We start from the raw sequence: 21,688 nt of genomic DNA on the forward strand, positions 1-21,688 counted from the left end.
ACTGTGGTGCCTGGCGGATGGTGGGTGCCCAGTGGCTGCTGAATGATGATGGCACGAGTGGAAGGCTGGTTGGGTGTGTTTTCCCCATTGGAGTTGGGACGGGGTCGGGGGGCAGAGGGATTGAAAGAGCACTTCCAGATCTCAGTCTGCATTGGTTGAGCACCCAGTCCATGCAGTCCCTGGGAACTCTGAGATGAGTCCCTAGTCTGGAGTCAGGCAGCTAGAGGGAGAAAGGTGCTTCCACAGAGGTTCTGCGGAAGTCCTGCCCGGGGCTTCCTGAATGTTGCCCCAGGGAGTAAGGAGTGACTGAGCTGGGTCTAAGATGACGCCATTCAGTACAGTAGCCACTGGCCACATGTGGCTGTTTGTGAATTTCAATTAATTAAAGGGATGAGTTAAGCTTATCCTTGGCACTAACCACATTCAAGCACTCAGTAGCCACCGAAGGCTGGTAGCCGCCTTGTTGGGCAGCTCAGACTCTAGAACATGTCCACCACAACAGGAAGCTCCATGGACGACAGACAGCGCTGTCCAGGAGGATAGACTTAAGACAGAGGTGCAGTGAGGACACTAGCTCAGAGCCCACAAGTGTAACAGTGCAGGCGAGTCTGTTAGATAAAGAGACCTCCTGTTTCTCTAGCATTTGTTTTGTGGCAGCCTGCTGCGGGGAAGGAGTAGACCAGCCAGGCATTCCCATTTAACACAGGAGAAAACTGAGGTTCACTTTTGCCCAAGGTCATCCAGCAAGAGGGTGGCATGAGTCCCAGGTCTCCAACCCCTTGGCCAGCACTCTGTCATCCAGCAGAGGTCAGCCAGGGGGCACGAGTGGGCAGCGGTCCCAGGAGCAGCCTCAGACCTCCCTGAGGGACAGTCTTGGTGCCAGTAGGCGTCAGTCCCTGTGAAGTCATCCATTGATCGGGCGGGAGCGCCAGCTCAGCCTCGGGTCCTCAGGAACAGAGAGTTCTGTGCTGGCAGAGCTGGAAGGAGCGGGCGCGAGGCTCTCTGGGCAAGGGAGGTGTTTACCTTGAGCGATGCGGCATGGGTCCCTCGGGAGAGGCTGGCTCCTCCATGGGGAAGGAACTCCTCAGTGGGGCCTGTGGCTGGGATCCTTAGCACCACCTCAGAGAGAGGGGTACAGGCCCGAACCCAGCAGGGAGAAGGATTTCGGGACCTTTGACTGGTACAGAGTGCACCTCACCCTTGCTCTTGCCCCGCCACACCGTGTCACAGAGCATCTGCTGGGCCTCCCTCGCCCTCCTTCCCCAAGCCTCGGCTGCAGGAGGAAACTCTCCCAGGGCCTGGCAGAGCAGCAGCTGCCTCACGAGGGAGCCTGCAAAGGGAAAAACAAGGCCTCCACCCTCGAAGCACTTCCAGCTTCCCAGGGAGCTCCCTGGCCAGACACCACAGGCAGGGAAGGAAGGCCAGCCCACTGGCCGGAGGGCCGAAGGGACTTCCTGCCCCAAGGTCACATGGCAGGAGAGGCCATGGATGGAGCCAATGCCCTCTCCCAGCCCACTGCAAATCCCAGTCTCCCAGTGGGAACGTGTGGTTTATGATTTCATTGTGCCTGCTGCCTGGTTTCCTGCTCCAGCCCTGAGGTGAGGGTTAGCTTCCTGTGGCCTTGTCCCTGTGTCCTGAGGTGCCCACTCCCCCAGCAGCAGGCCTTGCTGCCGCCTCCAGCTCCCATGGCCCTGACCTGACTGAAGTGGGAGGTCTGAAAATGCGGTGGCTTTCTGCAGGGACCCCCGCACACCAGAAAGAGGGTTCTTCAAGGCCCATCAGGGCAGCTTGAGGGATGCGAGGACCTTTGGCGACACTCTCAGGTTTCCAGTCCTCTAGAGGGAGAAAATGGTCAGGGGCGGGGCACTGATGAGGCCTTTCCGGGGAGCCCTTCCAGGACCCATAGTGAGTCCCTCGGGGAAGCTCACAGTGTCCTTGTTCCCCAGGATCTGATGGGCTGTGTGCCTTTCCAAACTGATGCACAGAGCTGGGAGCTACCCCCATCACCCAGAGTACTGGGCGTGAGGACCCCTGGGTGGGCCAAGCAGGCAGTCTGCTGTCCCCCTGCCTGGCCAGGCTCAGGAAGTATGACCCTTTTCCTCCCTCTCAGTAGCCCCAGCCATGGCCCTGACTTCTCCTTAGAGCCACCCTGGGGCTTCTCTAAGCCGCAGAGACCCTGCTGGGTTCCCCAACTGCTCCCACCCCCCGTAGGGTGAGGCCAGGCCTTAGAAGTGCCTGGCCTGGGGCAGTGGTGCTGCTTTGTGTGTACTGGGTGAATGGAGAACAGGGGATTTAGCCAGGACACTCACATTTTCTGAGACTGAGGCTCCCAAACCACCCTGGAGAGTTGTTGGGTCTGAGGGGAGGCCCGGCCCCTGTGATTTGGCTTGTAAAGCTCCCCAGATAATTCTGATGCTATTGGTAGAATCATGGCTCCCAACACTAGCCCTGAAGTGATTGTATCTGTAGTCTGGTGCCAAATTAGTGTGTGACCTTTGGCAAGTCACTTCCCCTCTGGGGGCCTGAGTGTCTCATCTCTGCCTCATCTTTATCTCATCTCTAAAAGGTAGACTCCACTCCAGGGCCTCAATACCAGCCCTGTGCCAGAGAGGTGGGGAGAGAGGAAAGTGAGAAAGAAGCTTGGGCCATGTCTTTGGGTGCCACCACCCGCATCTGGGTGTGCAGTGGGAAATATTAGGGTGCAGCACGGCAAGAGAGAATTAGATGAACAGAGGCCTATGCTCTACACCCCAAGAGCTATAGAAGGAAGAGGGGAAAATGGTGACTTTCAGGCTGGAGCGGCCTGAAACACTTCCCAGGTGAAACTTGATTTTGGAAATGGGCAGGATGAGAAAGGACTGTTGGGTGGGAGGACTAGTAGCTGCGAAGGCTTGGAAACCAGGAGAGGTATGGCGCTTGATGAGAAAGGAGGATGTCCCTCCAGATGGCAGGGGGGAGGTTAGCAGGAGCTCGAGGAGAGGTTGAGTGAGGCTGCTGCAACACCTTCAGGGCAGTGGGGAGCCATCAAAGGCTTTGGAGCCTCAGAGGCACTGGGACTCCTCCTGCTTCTAGGAGCAGGGCTGCTGCTGAGTAGCAGGCAGGAATCGGGCATAGAAGTTGGGAGTAGTGCGAGGTCGGCGTCCTGCTGTGGGAATGTCCCTGCCCCTGCTGACGCAATGGAAAGCCTCGTCTTGTTTCAGGGTTCCTGTTTTGTGGTTGCCCATGGTGGGGGGCGAGGGCAGCCAGCTCTGCCTTCTGAGGAGCTCCGGGAACTGGATGGAGCTTGTCCAGACCTCCCCACAACAGTCCTCTGCTCTCCTGGAAAAGAGAGGCAGTCCTGTTTGTGGAGTCTCTCCCTAGTCCCTCGGGGGATTCTAGCCAGGCCCAGGAGGCTTTAAATCAATGTGTGCATTTCCCTGGGGCTGGGACTGGAGTGGATGGGTGCCAGCGGGTAGTCTCTGGGCTTGCAGAGTTGGTCTCCCACCCTCCCAGGGCTCCAGTGTTGAATCCCTGCTCCCTGGGTCAGAGCCTGAGGCACTAGTGATTTACCAGCTCCCTGTCTGCCTCCCAAGAGCTTATGATCTGATGGGCAGCTTCACTGTGCGCAGAAGATTTAGCAAGGTCTGGTTCAACCCCTGTGTGTGGGAGGCCAGGACTGTGAAAAAATGGGGGGCATGTTTCAGAGAGGAAGGAAAAAGGAAGCCCAAGGAGCCCTTTTTCCTGCCTCTCACTTCTGCTGCTTCCAGGCCCAGCTCTAATGCCATGGCATGGCCCAGGAAGCTTTCCCTGGATCCCCACACCCAGCGTCCGGGGCCACTGTCTCCTTGCGGTCCTTAGCTCCTGTGCACATCCAGGATCCAGCGCTGTACATCAGTAGCTTCCTGTCATCCCTTGCCCACCTGGGTGTCAGCCCACTACACTGACTTGAAGGACAGGCGGTTCGTGACTTGCATCCACGCTGGGTGCTGCGTAAATGTCTGTCAGATGGCCAGCCCGGAGCATGAGGACATGGCGGCCCTGGTCACCCAGGCAGGAATTGAAAGGCTCGAGGTCTTGGCCCAGCTCTGGCTCCCCAGCTTGTCTGTGTGATGTGAGGGGTGCCTGCCTTTCTTGAGGTCCCTGCTTGTAAGGAGCAGCGTGGGATTTACTGTGCTGTCCAGTATAGCAGCCACACATGTATTTAAATGTACATTAGTAAAATTAAATGAAGTTTTCAGTTCCTCAGTCACAGTAGTCACATTTCACGGGCTAGTGGCTACCAGATTGGACAGTGCAGTGGTGGAATGTTCCCATCATGGTAGAAAGATCTGTTGGCAGTGCTGTGCCTGAAGTGGTCACTCTGTGGCCCGCGGGCCTACCCTGTTGGCAGCTCTGGTGACTGCTCCTCTCCCTTTCCCCCCAATGCACGAGGGACCTCCCTGCCCAACTACCCGGGGCTCTTAAAATGGGGCCACCCGGTGTCCTTCCCAAGCCAGTGTCAGACAGTAATTATGAAACCCACATCTGTCATTTACCAGGTGACTTTGAGTAAGTCACCAAGGTTCTCTGAGCCTCTGTTTCCTGATCAGTGCAGTAGAGCTACTTGTCCCTGCCTGGCAGGGTTGCAGTGGGGAGTAAATGAGATGGGGCTAAAAGGCGCTTAGGTTGGTATCTGGCCCATAGTAACGTCTCAGTAGCTGGCAGCTTTCATCACTGTCAGGTGGATTCATCCCCTCGCAGCATGGGCTTAGTTCCAAAACTGGCTGGGCATTAGGTTCCCCTCAAGTTCCTGAGCCCGAGACTGGGTTCTCTCCACCCAGCTCCACCACCAGCCCCCTTCTGTCTGAGCCTCAGTTTTCTCATCTGTACAGTACTCCTGCCTGTCCTTGCCCTGTGTTGCAGCTGGAGACCTTGCTGTGCCCTGTGGAGGGTGGTGCCATCTGGGGGCTTATCCCTCCTTCCAGCATGGCCACTGTAACAGGAGAGCCTGAGAAGGTCAGGGGACAGAGGGGCACAAGTGTGCTTGCCACTTGTCTGTCCCAGAGAGAAGCTGCCTGGCTGTCCCTCCGGCAGCCATCAGGGAGGTCCTAGCATGTGTCAGCTCTGGAGGAAGTAAGCGTGGCCGGCACCCACGTGCCCACTTTCATTTCCCTCTTGGGGAATGAGAGGTGAGAGTCTGCACCCTGGACTTCTGAAGCCCGCCAGTGATTTGCACAAGGACTTCTTCCTTGAGGTCTACCCATAGTTTGTCAGGGTCTGTGAGCCCCTGCATTTCTGGGCAGAGGGTCTGTGAGTCGAGCCATGTTGAGGTGGCCCTTGGGGTCCAGCCATCCTAGTGAGAGTGGGCTTGCAGAATAAGGACTGTGAGTCCAGCCTTGGCTTTCAGGTGCCCAAAGGGTGCCTGGAGAACCCCTCGCTGAGAGGAAATTCTGGGAGCTGGGGAAGGGTCCCAGGAGCCAACACACGGCTTCTTGTCAAACCCTAGGTCCTGGCACCCACGGTGTCCTTGGTGTCGGGATGGGTACTGGGAGACAGAACAGCCTTCAGGCGCAAGGCCGGAAGACCATCCTGGGGAACAGACCACGCGCAGGGAGAAGGCACAGGAAGCTGGGGGGCCAAAAGGGGAGGGGCTTGCTGGGGACTTGTGGCCATTGTAGAGATCGAGGAGGTGAAGACTGGGCACTGCACTGAATTGGGGGTTTCCAGGTGGGGATGGGATGGCCCTCCTGTGGCTCCCCACTGTTAGGAGCGAGAGGCCCTCACCCCACAAAGGTGCCCTCCCAAGCTTGCTCCCTACGTCTGTCCCCCTCCTCTCCTGTCTTCTCCACACACCGGGACCTCTCACCCTGTCTAAGCCTCAGTTTCCTCATCTGTAGAACCGGAGACTAGTACTCATCCCCTAGGGCTGTGGGAGGATTAAAGAGCTCATTCCAGCCAGCACCTTGAGCACAGTGCTGGGATCTCATCGCCCCTGAGCAAACATGAGCTACCCTTCCTGCTCTACGTGGTTCTCCTCATGTTTGTGGGAGGCGTGTTCCTCTGGGTCACTTGTCCTCCTGCTCCCCAGCTTTGGGGCCTCTTTATTGTCCATTGCAGCCCAGCCTATCCAGACACTCCCCCAACCCCTCACCCCATACATCTGTTGGGGGTACCTTTTCTCCAGCATGAGCCCCGAACTGGTAGAACATGCAGAATGCCCATCTTCTCCAAGAGCCTGAGACATCTTGGAGCAAATAGTCCCCCTGCCTCCAGCCAGGGCCCCAGGGCTCTTGGCCAGAAGCTCAGGGCTCACTCAGTGTTTGCTGAGCAAAGGCTTGTGTCTTCCCTGCAGGGAGTGGGGACAGCTTGTGTAACTCTCAGGTATGTCTTCATTTGATTTGCCAGCAACAGGCTCAGAAAGTTACTGGGCAGTCCCGGGATGCCCTGGAAAACGGACAGAAGCCATTGTCCCAGGGGGTCAGGGCAGCAGCACCCAAAACAGAGAAACGCCCTATCCCCACCTTACTAGAACCATGGCAGCCTTGACCGTTGGGTCCTTAGTGGCTTCTAGGAGGCCACTCGGGCAATGGGTCTCCCAGGAGCAGCATCAGGACAGGGGAGGGAGTAAGGGCCGAGCACTTGGCTTCCACTGTAAGCTCAGGCTCTGGCTTCTTCTGTCCAGGCCAACTTTGGCCCTTGAAATGGAGGAAGGTCTTCCACCCTCCCTGAACCCTGCTTTTCCTTCGACTGCTGCTGCCCAAGGGCACCCGTAGACAGCAGGTGGGCCTCAGGAGGCAGGCTCCTGCAGGCTCCTGTACCCACCCAGCCTATGTACCCACCCTGCCTAGAATTAAGCCTTCCCAGCATCAGGCCTACCAGGGGCCCATAATCCTCTCAGAGCTTTACATGGCGGTGTACCTTCTCAGATAAATACATTTAGTGACCTGGATAAGATCTTTCTCCTCAGGTGACAGCCTTTGGGATGAAGATTTCTCCCCTGGGGTTTCTTCCCAGGTGTGGCTTTCCTGGTCATCCCCTCCTCTCTCCCAGGAGTGTGTAGTCCACCACACCCTCACCATGGTACCCCCTGGGCTCTTACCTAAATAGAAACCAGCCTCTGAAATGACCTGGCCGAGACTCACTTCCCTGGACACCTCCCCAGTCTTGGGCACCTGCTACCTGAAGCCTTGCTTTCACCCTACCCAAGTGATCTTGTGCTTGAGATGTCCTTCTGCCACCCAGCAGCATACTCAGTTACCACTTCTGCAAAACGGGGACACCCTCACCCACAGGTCTGTTATAGCTACAGGAGTCACCATGTAGGCTGCCCACTGAGTGTGTGAGTGTGTGCAGGCATCTGCTGGGGACCCTGGATGCACGCCCCCCTGCCCGTGCCCTTACTAACAGATGCACCTGTGACCCTTACTAGGCACACTGCACCGTCAGTACAGCACTTAGTGCAGCCCTTGGTATGTGCAGGAATGTGGCATTTCTTCAAGTTCATAACTATGACTATAGCTCGCTCAAGTTTGTATGGTGAGCATCCAGATAGGCAACATATACATGTAATATATTTTGGAATGAGTGAATGAACAAAAGAAGAGCTGGGTTCTCTCTGGTCCAGGCACTGTGGGGAAGGTGAAAAAAGACACATCCCCTCCCCTCTGGGAGCTTAAAAGTCCCAGAATTAAGATGACAGGGCTGGAAGGCAGTGGGTGTGCGGGGCCGGACATGCATCTGGGTGAGAAGTAGGGCTGAGCCTGTTGCAGAGATTATGTGTTGATGAAGAGAAATATAAGACAGAACATTTGCAAATGTTGCCTGGGTTTTGCATCTTTGTGCATATATCAGATAAACATGCAGTTGAACATGCATGTGTCCACTAGGACGTGTGGGGGTCGTTTGCAAGTTGAATGGCTGTTGGATATAGGGTAGTGTACTTGTGAGTTTGTGCAGGCTTACAAACACACTGGGTGTTGGGAGTGTGTCTGTGACATAGGAGGGGCACATGGGGAACTGGGTGTGTAAATGTGTTGACACATTCCAATCCCCTTGGGGCTTACGGGTACCTGCACTGTCCCTCCCTGCCGTGCCGTCTTGGATTGTCTTGGGCGTTTCTAGAGTGCTTCAGAGTCCAGAAAAGCCTTCCACGTATGCAGTGGCTTCTCCTCACCCAGCAAGGGGTGGGAACTGAGGGTCAGGGAGTGTGGGGGACTGGTGGGTAGAGGTGCGGCCTGAACTCTGGCCTTCTACCTTCCAAGTCCGAGGCTTCAGTGTCCACCAGGGCACTGGCAAGGTCCTGTATCCACTTGCCTGGCAGCGCCCTGGGGAATTTGGGATCCAGACGCAGGAGGCTCACTTAGATCCAGGACTTTGTGAGAGGCCCCTGAGCAAAGGAAGGATGACTGTGACCCCAAAGATATCCATCTGCTCAGTGTCCATCATGCCCTGTGTGGATGCATGGGCCTGCACACATGGCCCCACACACAGGTACATGCACACACACACACACATGCTGACACGCACACTCACACACACACTCATGCACACACTCACTCATAGGCACCCCACCCTTGGGGTTTTCCTCTCCGTTCAGAAAACTTAATTGTAGCTTAAATTTTTATTTTCAGCCAACTTTGTTTTTAATGTTGAGTAGCTATCACTTGTTTGTATATACTTCAGAAACAAAGTCCCTGGGAGAGAAGGAGGCTGTTTTCTTAAGCTGAATCCTAGAACTCCAATTAGGAGTGATTGTTCCACTTCTGAGGTTTTCCAGCCGCTTCCTAGCAAGCCCTGCTGAGCCCCTAATTAGGCAGCCAGGGGCGCCCCTGTTCAGGGCCCAGCACATCTCAGGGTGGCCTGTTTGAGGGCCAGTCTTAGGGAAGTTCAGGGCCAGAACCCCAAGTGGACCTGCAGGGTACTGGGGATGGTCCTCTCTGTTCAGGGAGTGGACTGAGGTCATTGCCCGCCATCCCAGGGCCCTGGCTGCCTTTGGGGACATCAGTGCAGGGCACAGAAGCAGAGTCAGGGTGCCCTGGGTTTAGGGAAGCCCCATAAGCCGGGCTGGACGGCCCTTGGCCCAGGCAGGGTCCCATGGGGAGGCTGCCGAGTGCTGCTCTTGCTCTAACTGGGGATCCACCCACGATGGGGCCTGGCCCGCTGGTCTCTATTCACTGCTAAGCAAACTAAAGCTCACAAAAGTACCACAGGAATTAGAGCCAGGGCCACCCCTCAGGCAGGTCTGGGTGACCAAGTCCTGCCTTGCAGTCAGCGTGATATTCCATGCCATGGGTCCCATTTGGGTGGGGGATGGCCTTCCTGGGGTGAGGCAAAACTGAGAAATTTGAAGGGCAGTTTAGACAGGTGGGCGGGGGCGTTGGTGGGTGAGGGTGCCAGGCAATGCAGGGAGAGCCGACTGAGTGAGGGACCTCGGCCTTGTTGGCTTTCAAAACCAAACACCTGATACCTTTCACCGCAGTCGTGATTTTCAGCACATTGCCCGATGGCCCCCATCCACTCTTGCTGGGGAAGAAGGGCGTGTGGTTGAAGAAACAAACCTCTTGCAGCCTCAAGGTCTCCCTGAGCTGCCCACGACAGCTGGTGCCTACTCGCACCCCGCAGGGCTGTGGGCCTCCAGCCCGGGCTGGCTGGGTCCTCTGGTGCCATGGATGCCTGTGGCCGCCCTGGGAGACGTTGCCCTCCACCCAGCCCAAGCCGATTCCCTCTGGCCTTGAGGAGGTTCGGGTTTCTGCCTGCCAGGTGGGCAGCTCCCCTCATTCCCCACAGCAGCCACTGAGCTCACGACACTGCCCTGCTCCTGCCACCTGAGTCCCCAGGTGCCATCTGCCACCCTGTTTCCAGGCGGCAGGTAGGTGGCCTCAGGGCAGGGGAGAGAAGAAGGCAGGCAAATCCCAGATGGGGAAGGCCGGGCTCTAGCCCTGAGGGGCAGGCAGTGCCTGGCCTGCCACCTGGCACCTGGGTTGCCCCCACCCTTCTTCGGGAATGGATGTGAGCAAGTCTGCTGAAGCATGGGTATGAGTAGGTAAGGGGGTTCCCCTAGCATATCTGTGGCTTAGTTTCTCTGCAGGTGTGAGGAGTGGAGTCCGTCTGGGCACCTCTGTGTATATCTGCGTTCCTAACCATCTCTGTCTTGAGCCCGGGCATTCACCAGCGTCCCTGCCCGCTCCCCTCTTATTTCTCTGTGCTCTCCAAGTGTACCTTCCATGTCTCTCAGGGTCTCTGTGTTCCTGCCTATCTCTGTCTCTGCATTCTGAGCTCATGAGGGTGCCTTTGCCATCAGAGCCACCTCTCCCCGCCACCCCCCACATTGAGTTGTTCTACTTAATTTCATTTTCCCGGGGCTCCAACTCACAGAAATAAACCGTCCCTCCCCACCCCTGCACTTTTTCGATTTAACAAGCCTGCTGGAAAACAATAGTGATTTCCGCATCGATCATAAACAGAAGTGATTACCATACAATTACAGCCTGAACCATCAGTCTGGATGCAATCACAGAGCCGCATTGTAAATCGGAAGACAATTGCCTGCAGAATTACCCCCAAATTGGTTTAAGTGGCAACAAAGGAGTGTTGGCATTTTGGTATTTTGGAAAGGGATGGGGGGAATGCGGGTGTCCTGGTGGCAGAGGGTCCCCACTGGGAGCCCCCCAGGGCCCCTTCCTTGGCATTGAGGAGGCTCTTGCTGGGGAGAGCTGCCTGCCACCTTCCTCCCCATGATTTTCCCTTCAATTACTGCTCCCTGCCCGTCTTGGCACAGCTTGTCATAAACTCATTTATACTAATGTGTGAGTGGCTAAGTGTGCCTTCGAACTTGGCCGGCAGAGGGGTGAATCTGATGGAGGGAATTCTGGGGGGCCTCCTCAGCTCCCCAATATCCCCCTTTCTCCATTCCCATCTCACCTGTGGCTCTTCCATGTCACCCCATCCCTCTATGCTCCTGGCCTGGCACCCACCCCACAGTAGCCTTCCCCACTATCTCCCAGCCCTCGGTGGACTCTGGCCAGCATCTCCCACATCCCATCCAGAGCAGCCCCCTCCCTCCTGCAGCTGCAGTGTGTGCCCTGCATCCTTCCCAGCCTTCCAGACCAGCTGGAGGCCACAGTCCAAGCCAGGTGGGCTAGGGCGGCCACTCCAGGGAGGGAGCCTGCCGGTGCCCCTGCAGCACATGCTGAGGGGATCACAGGTGGGTCTGCTCCTTTCCAGCCTGTGGTTTCACAAGAAATGCCCTGCCAGCAGGACCCCTCTGAGTGTCTGAAGACTGGACTCTTAAGCTCCAGCTGTTTCCACAGGGGGCATGTCTTGCTCTGGGAGGTGATTTCTCTCCAGGGTCAGGCTGCTCTGAAGTTACCAGGAAAGCCTGCCCACCCACTGACACAGTCAGATCCCCTCACAGGCATCCATATCCAGGTCATAAGTGCTTTGGCATGCCCCATCTGATCCTCACAGAAAGGTTTGTGCATGCTTGTGATTTTGCTCTAGTTTTTCCATTAAGAAAATAAAAAAGAGGTGGGGAGACCTGAGGGGTGACATGGCTTGCTCCAGGTGACACAGCCCATCAGTGAAAAGTGACGTCTTCAGGCTTCTATGTGAGTGCTTCTTCCTAGATGCTGTCTACAGCCTCCCCAGACCCACATGAGACAGACTGGGGTCTCACCTTGTCGCTGACCTGCCTTGAGACCTCAGACAACACCAATAATTAAGCAAGCCCGAGTGAGCACATGCTCCGTCCTCACCTGTTTATTCACATGTCAACTCCGCTCATCCCATTGCAGCCCTGTAAGAGGATGGGTGGGTCCCTAGTGAGGGGACTGAGGACCACTGTGGGGACCCCAGAGCCCTCAGATTCCTGGTGACAGCAGCTGGTCTGCCCCCTGTCTGCCAGCCTCTGAGCCTCTGCTAATACACCCTGGAAGGCAGGAGAAGCCGGATGACCCTGAGGTCTTTTGCACCTGGTGCCACTGAGGGCCTCAGTTGTGCTGTCCTGGTTGCTCTGCAAAAGCTTTAGGACTGGGCACCATCTAGAGTTGGTGTATCTGGAACCAGAAACTCTGTTGGCTGCCCCAGCTCTACCCTGAGTCAGGGGAACATCGGTGTTGCCCTGGGCTTGGCCTGCAGAGCTGGGGTGGGTCAGGCTTTGGGGTGACCCTGTGCCTGGCATTGGGAGGTGCTAGCATTGGGAGGTGACTGATCTGGAAGAGAAGCCAGGCCTCACAGACCATGGTGATGTTCAGGGAAGAAGCTGCTGGTCTTTGCCTGCCAGGCAGACCTGCCCTCCCCAGGCCCCATCCTGGAGCCTTTGCTCTTGCTGTCTATCTCCTGGGGAGCCAGGTGTCCAGTGGAAAGACGGGGTTCCAAGCCACAGAGACCTGGACTCAGGTTCTATCCCTGCCACTTTATGGTTTGCACCGTCTTTAACTCTGAGCTGTATTATGAGACCACAAAGGTGATTGCTGTTGAGTCCAGGGCTCTTCAGACAATAGCCCTACATCCTTGGTCTCAGAACCCAGAGGGAAGGGACCTCGCTTTTGTTGAGCATTTGTCATGTGCCAGGCTTTGTCCTGGGCATTTTAAGGATGGCCTGCTTACTCTTCACAGCAACCCCAAGAAGGTAGTCAGAAACTGGATTTGCAGAGCCCAGCGTGGGAGCCAGTATCCCCATGTGCTAATTGGAGCTTAAATTTAATGAAATGAAGTTAAATGGGCCGGGCACGGTGGCTCATGCCTGAAATCCCAGCACTTTGGGAGGCTGAGACAGGAGGATTGCCTGAGCCCAAGAGTTCGAGATCAGCTTGGGCAACATGGCGAGGACTCATCTCTACTAAGAATCAAAACAAATTAGCCAGGGGTGGTTATGCACGCCTGTAGTCCCAGCTACTCAGGAAGCTGAGACAGTGGGATAGCTTGAGCCCAGGAGGTCGAGGCTGCAGTGAACCATGTTTGCAGCACTGCACTCCAGCCTGGGTGGATAGAGCCAAATCCTGTCTTAAAAGAAAAAAAAAGAAGAAGAAGAAGAAAAGAAAATAGTTAAATGGAATTTAAACTCAACTCCTCAGTTGCACTGGCCACACATGTGCAGTAGCACATGTGGCCCCTGCCTCCTGTTTCGGGCAGCACAAATCAACATTTCCAATACTGCAGAAATTCTGTTGGCCAGCAGTGTACTGTGTTATCCCATTTCATAGGTGTGAAGTTGAGGATGGTTGGTGATTGTCATGCGTAGGGTCTCAGTTGGATGAGGCAAAGTGGGACATAAACCTGTGCCCATCAGTGCAACATAGCTTTCAGCACCAACATTCTAGGCTCTCCAAGCCCAGCCCAGATAGCTCCCCTTTCATGAGCCTTCCATGAGTCTGAAGGCCATGGACTGTTTTCTCTGCATCCTGATGCTGAGCCCAAGGCCTGCCCCAGGGCAGGCACTTTGGGGTGAGTATCTGGAGTGGGTGATGGAAGGAATGACTGACTGAACATGGTCTGCTGAAACTTTGGGGCGAACTCACTCCCCTCCTGATAGAACTAATGTGGGGAGGGCAGAGCCAGCTGCTGAGGAGTGATGGATGGCCCCTCTCCCAAGATAAATGTGGCAGTCAAGGTAATCGGATTGTGTGTGACGGTCTAATTTGTAGGCGAGGGGAGGAAGCGCCCAGCCATGCCTCGCCCCAGCCGCCCGTATTAGTTTAATCAAATGCCCAGTATCTAAATGACTGGGCCCAAGTGATGGATGATGTGAGCTTTGTTAAATGTTGTTGCCCTGTCGAGCCAAACTTCCCAAGGCCCTGCCCGGCTCCTGGACTGTTTAATTTGTTTTTTCTTGCTTGGTTATCTCTGCGTGGGGCAGGGAAGGGGGGGCTGGAGCTCTCCTGTCTGTCTTAAAGCCTCTGGTTTTTCATGGAGGAGAAGAGAGAGGAGGCCAGACCTAGGGGAGGAGTGGGAGGGAGTCACCTTCTGCCTCTCCTGAGAAGCCTTCCTGGGTCGCTGCACAGTCTTGAGGAGCCCAACTCCCCAGAACCCTTCAACAGGGCTTCATCGTGCACCGTGTGGCTTCTTCTGTTCCATGCAGACTCACCCTCACCCTGTGCTTCTCACTCCATTAATGGGGTATTTTGGGATGCAGGACATTCTTCCATAGGAAAATTTATCAAGTTTCCCTAATGCTTAGTGCTTGTGTTTCTTGAGAATTTCCCCAAACCCCAGATCATGAAGATATTCTCTATCACCTTCTTTTTTTTTTTTTTTTGAGGTGGTGTCTCACTCAGTTGCCCAGGCTGGAGTGCAGTGGTGCAATCTCAGCTCACTGCAACTTCTGCCTCCCAGGTTCAAGTGATTCTCCTGCCTCAGCCTCCCCAGTAGCTGGGATTACAGGCTCACACCACGCCCTGCTAATTTTGTATTTTTAGTAGAGACAGGGTTTCACCATGTTGGCCAAGCTGGTCTCAAAGTCCTGACCTCAAGTGATCTGCCTGCCTTGGCCTCCAAAAGTGCTGGGATTACAGGTGTAAGCCACCGCGCCCAGCCTTTCCTCTGTCACCTTCTAGACAGTATGTTGTTTTGCTCCCCCTCTCTCCACTCCCCTCGACTTTTTGTTGGTCTGTGGTGTGAGGTAAGGGTCACGTTTCCGGTCTGGTCATTCTGAGCTCTGAGCGTCTGCTGTGTGCCCCAGACTAGGCTGTGTCCTAGCAAGAGACAAAAGATGAAAGAGGCACAGGCGTGACAGTGAGTTTGAGTTCAAAACAGCATGCATACTCTGCCAGGCTTTGTGTACCTGCAGTGCCCTGCCTTCCATCAGTGTTAATTGTCACCTGTGTGCCAGGTATTGTTCTAGGCACTGGGGATGTGCTGGCGAATGTAGCACATGGGAACCCTAGCCCTGGTAGAGCTTTTGTTCCAGCATGGAGGGAGGGGAATCAGGACTTTAAAAGCAGGTGGTGATAGGTGCTCTGAAGAACAATGAGGCAGGGGAGGAAAATAGAGGGAGTCGGTGGTGGGGAGGTACGACAATTCATAAACGGTCAGGTCAGGGAAACTCTGGCTGCATGAGGATGAGGGGGTGAGTGAATCACGTGGCTGTCCAGGACGAGAACCTTCCAGGCAGAGGTGGCAAAGTCTCTGGTAGGTGCCAAGGATAGAATAACCCTGGAAGGAAAAACCCAAAGCCACCAGCAGTGGTTCCCCTTTGGAAGGAATGGCAACAGGGAGGCGTCAAGGAGACTGTTTTTCAATGCACGCCTTTTATTCGGCTTCTGTATATTTCTAATTACTTCTTCAAAATAGCATTTCAAAGTGAAGAAATGGAACGGTGAGGTGGAATCATCGGATGTGATGGGGAAACTGGGTTTGGAGGCTGGGGAAACATTAGCTTTATAAGGAGAATGGATTTGTGTAGTACTTATGTAAATGAAAAGTAATTGTATTAATTAAAACTAAATAGATCCCACTCTGCTGTTTTCGCTGGTTGTCCTTGGGCAGGTTTTCTTAACCTCTCTGAACACTAGTTTCCTCCTATCAAATCAGGGTAGTTGTCTCCACAGGATTGTCAGGAAAATGAACAGAGAAAGGAGGCGTGTCTCATTTCTGCCTAGCCTGCAGCTGACCTTCCCGAGGACACGTCCCTGCATGACCTGGCTCTCTTCAGGGCAGAGAGAGACTGTATCCCTGTCTTCAGATTCTCCAGGGGTTCGAGACCCCAGAAAGGCCCAGACTCTGCACTCCGGCTCCCCCAAGGGTAGTTGGATGTGCTCCAGACCCCCAGGCTGAGCGTCATGAAAGACCCTGTGGCCCCGCCGGGTGGTCGGGTTTTTGACCCGGCCGGCCCCTCAGAGGCCCATCCAGTTCGTGCTTGCCCAACTGGTGCGCGCTCAGCTCAGGCCAGCTGGTCACCCAGCTCCAATGCCCCTCCCTACCCGGTGTTCCCTTCCCTCTCCCTACATTCCGTGTTAATTTTTCATGGCCTCCATCAGAGGCAGAAGGCAGAGAGCTGTTTTCTGCAGGGAGAGAGCAGGCGCTGGAGGGGGAGGAGGGAGAGAGCTGCGTGCTGATTAAACACTGCAGAGGCCTAAACAAATGACGGCTCCCTCCCCCAGCTGCTCTGGAAGAGAAACAGGGAGCCTGGCCTGAACTGCAGATGGCCCAGGCTGCTGTCTGTCCCTCGCCTACCTGGGGCTGCTTCCTAGAGCCGGCAGTGAGGCGGAGCCTGCAGGACCTAGTTCAGTTCTTACAGCCACTCTGTGAAGCAGGCTCCAAGGCAGAGGGCTGAGGGACACCAGCAAGTGGTGTTGCTGAGAGATGCCGGGCAGGGGACAACAATGCCCTCTCAGAGTAGAAGCTTTAATTAGACCACACATGCAAAGTGCTCAGAACAGTGCCTGGTCTGAATCAAGTTCTCCATCCATAGCCACTGTCAAGGTTACCTTGTTACACCTTTAGAGCACCGAGGTGAGATAGGTTTGCATGCAGGCAAAGAAACCAAGGTGCACACGCCTGCCAAGATCACATAGTTCATAACTAGTAGATAAAGCCAGGGCTCCATGTGCCTGACACCCTTGTAAGAGTCCTTTCTCCTGTCTCATAGGCCAGGGAGAGAGAGCTCAGGGTCAAATCTCCAGAGCTTTGAATGCAAAGGTCAGGGGAGGTCCACAGCAGTATCAGCGAACGTTTGCCAAGCACATGCTTCTGCTGGCCCTAAGAACTTGCTTATGTCCTGAACCCAGAAGGGGAGAGAAAAGAATGTTTCCCCCCTCATCTTGTTCATGGAGTAACAGAGCACCTGCATCTTGCAGGCACTGAGCTCATCCCTTGGTCTCGAGCAGTGGTTCTCAAAGTGGGGTCCCCAGGTCAGCAGCATCAGCAGCACCTGAGACCTGGCTAGAAATGTATTCGTTGGCTCCACCCCAGACCCACTGAATCAGAAACCCCACTGGGGGTGGAGCCCAACATGCATGTGTTTTAACAAGCCTTCCAGATTATTCTAATGCATGGGCAAGATTGAGAATCCCTGGCCTGGAGATCCAGGCTGCAGTGAATCATTCAGCCCTGCTCTGGGACCGCACCATCCAGACATCACCCCAAGTGTGTTACACTGAGTAACAGGTGCAGCCAGGAAGCACCAGATGTAAATGGCATTCTTATAAACCATTTTGATTTTCATTGCAACAAGGCAACTGGATATTTAAAGAAACCTCACAGAGAACCATTTCATCAGGTAAAGAATCTTCTACAAAAAGAGAAATTCTCTCATTTCCTCCCTCCCCTCAGTGTTCTATAAATTCAGTCCCTATCTCAGGTTGTCTTGAACGGCGTGTGCTTGTGCACGACTAAAACCGGTAGCTAGCATGCTAAAAGAGTGACATGTATTCTCCAGAATGCACAGGGACCCCTGCAGCTGGGAAGGAGGGCCCAGAGCAATGAATGGAGACCAGTCTGGTGTTTGGGCAGCCAGTGGGCATCCACTGGGCAATCTGCTGGGGACTTGGAGAGGTTTAATAACAGCCAGGCATATGTGATTTCCAGGGCTGTCAAGCCTCCATACTCTGGGTTTCTCGGAAAAGGAATGGAACGACCGATTAGGAAGTCAAGACGTAGAAACATGAAATGTGCCAGCCGTCAGCTGCTTCTGCTGGATGAATGGATAAGAGGGAAAACCCTACAACAGGTTTTGGGTCGAGAACCCATCTGAAGGTTGTCATCTCCCATAGCACAGGGTCAGAAGGGAGCGCGTAAGTACCACTGCATGCGCCAGCGCAGTGGCGCAGTGACAGAGATGGTGCCATGCGCTCCTGAGCTTACAACACGTGTTTCCAGAGTGGTCACAGCTGGCGTGGAGCCTGACCTCGTGGCTTCGGTCTTTGCAGGGTTTAGACCTCAGGTGCACTAGCTCAGAGTTAGAGGAACGAATAGCCTTCTGAGTTTCTTGCATCAGGAACCTGAGAGTCTTGGCAATTAACCAAGTCAGTCAGGCACTGTAAGCAGGGAAGGGTGGGGTGGAGTCGGGGGTGCAAATGGTTGGAGGTGAGATGGTAGAGTCTGGTCAGCAGAGTCACCCAGCAAAGCGCAGCCCATCTCAGTTCCTCTCCTGCCCCTTGTTACCACGGCACAGGTCTCCTGAGTCACTCTTCAGGTTTGGGAAGATTTGTGGGTGTTTTCTTTGTAATAAACAGTGATGCCCTAGGCTCACCACCTCCCCAAGGCTTAGTGTCAGCACCGGGCCCCCAGGACAGAGCCCATACTCTGGATTCATGAGCCCAGGCTGGGTGGAATGAAGCCACTTGAGAGGTCCTGGGGGTTGTCACTGGCAGGAAAAACCAAGGGCTTGGAATTGGACACTAAGGGTTGAGGTCAAATCAAATCAAGGGAGTACATGACAAGGTCTCTCGGTGCTCAAACACATGGTCTCTTGCCGTCTGTGAAGTCCGGACAGCCATGATGTGTAGACCCCAGGGTCTTTTTGACCCTAGGGAAGGCCCAGCCTCACTCCAACCACTTCTTCTTATGCTGGGTGGGAGAGGACACAGCTAAACTGCCTACACCCACCTGGGAAGGGTAAGGAGGGGACCTCCTCAGAAAAGTAAATTATGCAGGGAAGAAATTGATTCACATAACCCCTCCTTACCCTTCCATCTCCCTGAGAGCCAGCAACGGGCAGTGATGTTTAGCCCCGAGGAAAAATTACATGCGGAATGGAAAGCAGGCGCTCAGGGTGGCTCCTGCTGGAATGAGAGCTGGAGTGCAGGCTCCGTGGTTCCTGGGCATGCGGGTGTGGCTCAGTTCTCACCTTGCAGATGGAGTGGGACTGTTGACCCAGGCCAGCCTGGGGACTGCCTCCTCACCTCCCTGCGCAGGCTGACCTTGTCACCTTGCCTCTTGAGCTTGCCTCTCTCCTGCCCAGAGGTCCTTGGAGCAAAATGGAGGTCGAGAGGCATTTGGCACTCACGCCTCACCACGGACACTGGTGCATTCTTGGGTACCTCTTGGCCTCAATCTATTGCTGGGGGAGGGAGGACTGAGGCCCATTGCTGGGGCCCTGAATGCAGGGACTGTAACCACCCATCCCCTTCTCAGGGCACCTCTCCCCTCTCCAGCACGCTTGCTTTGCTATTAGTGCTACCTAATTTCCTACTGAGGTGGTCTAGAGCTCCTCCGCCATTGCCCTGCCGCCAGCAAATTTTTATCCCTAGGGTAAGATGACAGAGGCCAGCCTTGGCCCTGGCCTGCCACATACTCAGGTGTGCACTGAGGCACAGTATCTAGTTTCTCCAAGATAGGGGCTGTGACCTGTGACTACCCCACCTCCGGAGGGGCTTGTGAGGGTCTGAGGAACGAGGAAATGTGAGCCAGCCCCTCACAAGGGCACAGTACATGGTGACAGCTCCTGTGAGCTGTTCTCAGCTAAAAGTGCATGGTAGGACTAAGGGGGCACTTTGCAGAAGCATTTATTGGGGTACCCCCAAAAAGAAAGGGGGGCATTCCCTTTCTGTGGACAACACCCTCTTGAGCTTGTTTTGGGATGTCTTTGATGGCCCCTGAGTTAGAGATGATAGTGTGAGGTGGCAGGGAATTTTCTGGGCTGGGGTTTTAGTCTGGCGTCTTATCCTGGGTCCATGCATCCTGCCCAGCCTCCACTGGGTGAGGCATGGCCAAACCGGTTTGGGAAACAGCACTGACAAAACTAGCCCTGACGGCTCTGAGGTTCCCTGGAGTTCAGTTCCCAGGGTGAGTTCACACGCCTCGAGGCTCCCAGTTCCCAGCTCCTGACAACCCGGGCAGCCCTTGGGGAGAGGGGGCGGGCGTGCGAGGAGTGTTCCTAGAGGGAGGGACAGGCTGTAGGCCCTCTCTCAGGCCAGACTGGACCACAGGACCTGAGAAGGCAGGACCTGCCCAGCACAGGGAAGCAGGTAGGGCAGGGTGAGCTGGGCCGGGAGCCTGCTTGCAGATCCCAGGCCACCTGCACCACCCAACTAGCCAGTCCTCCCTATGCACAGGGCTTCAGCTTGTGTGGGGACCGGGGGTGGGGGCAGCAGAGACGGACAGGGTCACTCGCAGCCCAAGCGCCAGCAGACAACTCCTTTTTTTTCTTTTCTTTTTTTTTTTTTTTTTGGCCTTTCTTACCCACAAGTGATGGTGATAGAGGTACAGGGAGCAGAACATGGGAATGATCTAGAAAACTCAGGAGGAGCTGAAACTCAGTTCAGCTTGCTACTGATGGTGCTGAGGCAGCAATACCATCAGTCTGCCGGAGACTGAGATTTTCCCCCAAGGAAAACCTCTCTGATGTAGGTTCCAGGGGTCAGCTGTCAGGGTCACCAGAGTCCAACTCACAATGCCCCAGAAGTGATGTTTTCTATAACCAAGGAGAAGGCCTAGCCCCTCAGCAGCCCCAGCAGCTGAGACCACAGGGTGCTCCCCACCCATCCACTCTCCTAGGACCCTGTCACCCTCAGAGTCCTGCAAGCATCGGCTGTTTGACCTCAGCGAATCCACTCTACTCTCTGGGCTTTGGCCTTGATCAACGGAGCAGCCCAACAGGGTGAGCTCTCTGGAGCCCCTTCCATCTGTAATCCCTGCTAGCGGTGTGGAGAGGCAGTCCACCCCAAGTGTGCAGACAGACAGCTCACCCCATATCACCTGCAAGATTGAGAAGAAGTCATGCAAGGTCAAGACTGGCCTGCGCCCTGAGAAACGTGACCCCACTTGGAGGCCAGGGCTGATTCAGGGGGCCACAGACTTCAGAGAGCAGTGCCCACCCCCTGTCTTTTACATGTGGCCAGAGACGGGAGGAAGTTGCCCACAGTCACACAGGAGGTTCAAGAAGCTGGGGTTGGCACCAAGTCTTAGGAGTGGGAGGCAGGCAGGAGGCACAGAGCTGTCTCCTGGGGATATGCCTGCTCTCAGACATGATGTCACAGAATTATGGGCATGAAAGTGGGGCCTTCGCGTACCAGCAGTGGGCGGGGCCGTTGTCCTGTGGAGTGACTGTTTGAATCACCCCTTCTTGGGCCTGGATTTCCCTTTTGTAAAATACAGGTAGTGTAATCCTTGGCAGGGTCCTAATTGGGTCTTGGGAGGTTTGAATGAAGTAGGAAGAACCACACGGCTGGGAGAACCAAAAGGTTGTGTGCTCCCACGGCCCGGTTAGATCCTCATCCACAGCAGGGTGAGTCGGGCCAGAAGGGGTGCCCCATCTTACAGAAGCACACACATGGCCCTGAGGCTGCACTGATGGTGCGGTGGTCTCGCTAGAGCCAACCCTGGTCTCCTGGGGCCCAGTAGTCACTGCCCCCGGTCCGAGGACTGTGAGTCTCTGTGGTCATGTGCTTCCTGTGCTATTTCCTCCTGGGAGATGACCCAAGAGAGCTGGCAGGGAGGAGGCCCCTTTTCCTATTTCTGGGGCACCCAGCAGTGACGGGTCTACAGGCAGGAAGTCCAGCCCCAGAGCCCCAGCCTCCAGCCGGGCAGAGTAACAATTCTGCGGCTAGTTCTGTTCTCAGGGCTCATGAGTCAGACCACTCATTCCTGCTTTGAGTAAATCAGCCAGAGTAGGAATCCTAGTTCCTGCCCGTCTCCCACCTCCTTCTGGACACAGTGGAATGGGGCTGAGGAGGGGCTTGGGCTCTGCCCACCGCCCAGGCCTCCTATTGTGGAGAGGACAGCTGCAAAGTCCCCCCAGCCCCTGTACCCACACACTCCAGAGGAGGAAGGGGTCTGCCTAGACCAGCCTCCT

The 21,688-nt window shown here is 55.2% G+C and overlaps 1 protein-coding gene across 12 annotated transcripts in view, besides 18 other annotated features; it reads left to right on the plus strand.

The window, feature by feature from the left end:
* Positions 1-21,688, plus strand: part of ZMIZ1 (zinc finger MIZ-type containing 1) — a 247,554-nt gene that overhangs the window by 176,456 nt on the left and 49,410 nt on the right. The window lies entirely within an intron of this gene.
* Positions 496-575: an enhancer, noted in NCBI's record as "active region_3632". NCBI's record gives its function as "activates an Ori minimal core promoter by ATAC-STARR-seq in GM12878 lymphoblastoid cells {active_cell/tissue: GM12878}" and the evidence as "EXISTENCE:reporter gene assay evidence [ECO:0000049][PMID:35858748]".
* Positions 796-965: an enhancer, noted in NCBI's record as "active region_3633". NCBI's record gives its function as "activates an Ori minimal core promoter by ATAC-STARR-seq in GM12878 lymphoblastoid cells {active_cell/tissue: GM12878}" and the evidence as "EXISTENCE:reporter gene assay evidence [ECO:0000049][PMID:35858748]".
* Positions 976-1,025: an enhancer, noted in NCBI's record as "active region_3634". NCBI's record gives its function as "activates an Ori minimal core promoter by ATAC-STARR-seq in GM12878 lymphoblastoid cells {active_cell/tissue: GM12878}" and the evidence as "EXISTENCE:reporter gene assay evidence [ECO:0000049][PMID:35858748]".
* Positions 1,056-1,135: an enhancer, noted in NCBI's record as "active region_3635". NCBI's record gives its function as "activates an Ori minimal core promoter by ATAC-STARR-seq in GM12878 lymphoblastoid cells {active_cell/tissue: GM12878}" and the evidence as "EXISTENCE:reporter gene assay evidence [ECO:0000049][PMID:35858748]".
* Positions 1,871-1,940: a silencer, noted in NCBI's record as "silent region_2537". NCBI's record gives its function as "represses an Ori minimal core promoter by ATAC-STARR-seq in GM12878 lymphoblastoid cells {active_cell/tissue: GM12878}" and the evidence as "EXISTENCE:reporter gene assay evidence [ECO:0000049][PMID:35858748]".
* Positions 2,633-3,547: an enhancer, noted in NCBI's record as "H3K4me1 hESC enhancer chr10:81007811-81008725 (GRCh37/hg19 assembly coordinates)". NCBI's record gives its function as "activates a minimal SCP1, AML or CMV promoter by ChIP-STARR-seq in naive H9 embryonic stem cells {active_cell/tissue: H9 hESC(naive)}" and the evidence as "EXISTENCE:reporter gene assay evidence [ECO:0000049][PMID:30033119]".
* Positions 2,926-3,426: a transcriptional cis regulatory region, noted in NCBI's record as "chr10:81008104-81008604 region (GRCh37/hg19 assembly coordinates) targeted for CRISPR interference". NCBI's record gives its function as "positively regulates PPIF gene expression in LPS-stimulated THP-1 monocytic cells {active_cell/tissue: THP-1(+LPS for 4hr)}" and the evidence as "EXISTENCE:mutant phenotype evidence [ECO:0000015][PMID:33828297]".
* Positions 3,548-4,461: an enhancer, noted in NCBI's record as "H3K4me1 hESC enhancer chr10:81008726-81009639 (GRCh37/hg19 assembly coordinates)". NCBI's record gives its function as "activates a minimal SCP1, AML or CMV promoter by ChIP-STARR-seq in naive H9 embryonic stem cells {active_cell/tissue: H9 hESC(naive)}" and the evidence as "EXISTENCE:reporter gene assay evidence [ECO:0000049][PMID:30033119]".
* Positions 3,711-3,760: an enhancer, noted in NCBI's record as "active region_3636". NCBI's record gives its function as "activates an Ori minimal core promoter by ATAC-STARR-seq in GM12878 lymphoblastoid cells {active_cell/tissue: GM12878}" and the evidence as "EXISTENCE:reporter gene assay evidence [ECO:0000049][PMID:35858748]".
* Positions 5,171-5,250: an enhancer, noted in NCBI's record as "active region_3637". NCBI's record gives its function as "activates an Ori minimal core promoter by ATAC-STARR-seq in GM12878 lymphoblastoid cells {active_cell/tissue: GM12878}" and the evidence as "EXISTENCE:reporter gene assay evidence [ECO:0000049][PMID:35858748]".
* Positions 10,577-11,572: an enhancer, noted in NCBI's record as "H3K4me1 hESC enhancer chr10:81015755-81016750 (GRCh37/hg19 assembly coordinates)". NCBI's record gives its function as "activates a minimal SCP1, AML or CMV promoter by ChIP-STARR-seq in naive H9 embryonic stem cells {active_cell/tissue: H9 hESC(naive)}" and the evidence as "EXISTENCE:reporter gene assay evidence [ECO:0000049][PMID:30033119]".
* Positions 11,573-12,568: an enhancer, noted in NCBI's record as "H3K4me1 hESC enhancer chr10:81016751-81017746 (GRCh37/hg19 assembly coordinates)". NCBI's record gives its function as "activates a minimal SCP1, AML or CMV promoter by ChIP-STARR-seq in naive H9 embryonic stem cells {active_cell/tissue: H9 hESC(naive)}" and the evidence as "EXISTENCE:reporter gene assay evidence [ECO:0000049][PMID:30033119]".
* Positions 15,931-16,225: an enhancer, noted in NCBI's record as "tiled region #1120; HepG2 Activating non-DNase unmatched - State 14:Gen5'". NCBI's record gives its function as "activates a minimal TATA promoter and a strong SV40 promoter by Sharpr-MPRA in HepG2 cells {active_cell/tissue: HepG2}" and the evidence as "EXISTENCE:reporter gene assay evidence [ECO:0000049][PMID:27701403]".
* Positions 18,355-19,314: an enhancer, noted in NCBI's record as "H3K4me1 hESC enhancer chr10:81023533-81024492 (GRCh37/hg19 assembly coordinates)". NCBI's record gives its function as "activates a minimal SCP1, AML or CMV promoter by ChIP-STARR-seq in naive H9 embryonic stem cells {active_cell/tissue: H9 hESC(naive)}" and the evidence as "EXISTENCE:reporter gene assay evidence [ECO:0000049][PMID:30033119]".
* Positions 19,857-19,906: an enhancer, noted in NCBI's record as "active region_3638". NCBI's record gives its function as "activates an Ori minimal core promoter by ATAC-STARR-seq in GM12878 lymphoblastoid cells {active_cell/tissue: GM12878}" and the evidence as "EXISTENCE:reporter gene assay evidence [ECO:0000049][PMID:35858748]".
* Positions 20,273-21,232: an enhancer, noted in NCBI's record as "H3K27ac-H3K4me1 hESC enhancer chr10:81025451-81026410 (GRCh37/hg19 assembly coordinates)". NCBI's record gives its function as "activates a minimal SCP1, AML or CMV promoter by ChIP-STARR-seq in naive H9 embryonic stem cells {active_cell/tissue: H9 hESC(naive)}" and the evidence as "EXISTENCE:reporter gene assay evidence [ECO:0000049][PMID:30033119]".
* Positions 20,273-21,525: a biological region, named in NCBI's record as "H3K27ac-H3K4me1 hESC enhancer GRCh37_chr10:81025451-81026410". NCBI's record gives its function as "regulatory_interactions: PPIF".
* Positions 20,669-21,525: a transcriptional cis regulatory region, noted in NCBI's record as "chr10:81025847-81026703 region (GRCh37/hg19 assembly coordinates) targeted for CRISPR interference". NCBI's record gives its function as "positively regulates PPIF gene expression in anti-CD40- and anti-IgM-stimulated BJAB lymphoma cells {active_cell/tissue: BJAB(+anti-IgM and anti-CD40 for 4hr)}" and the evidence as "EXISTENCE:mutant phenotype evidence [ECO:0000015][PMID:33828297]".

The sequence above is a fragment of the Homo sapiens genome, chromosome 10 (genome assembly GCF_000001405.40).
Source record: "Homo sapiens chromosome 10, GRCh38.p14 Primary Assembly".
NCBI classification, from domain to species: Eukaryota; Metazoa; Chordata; class Mammalia; order Primates; family Hominidae; genus Homo; species Homo sapiens.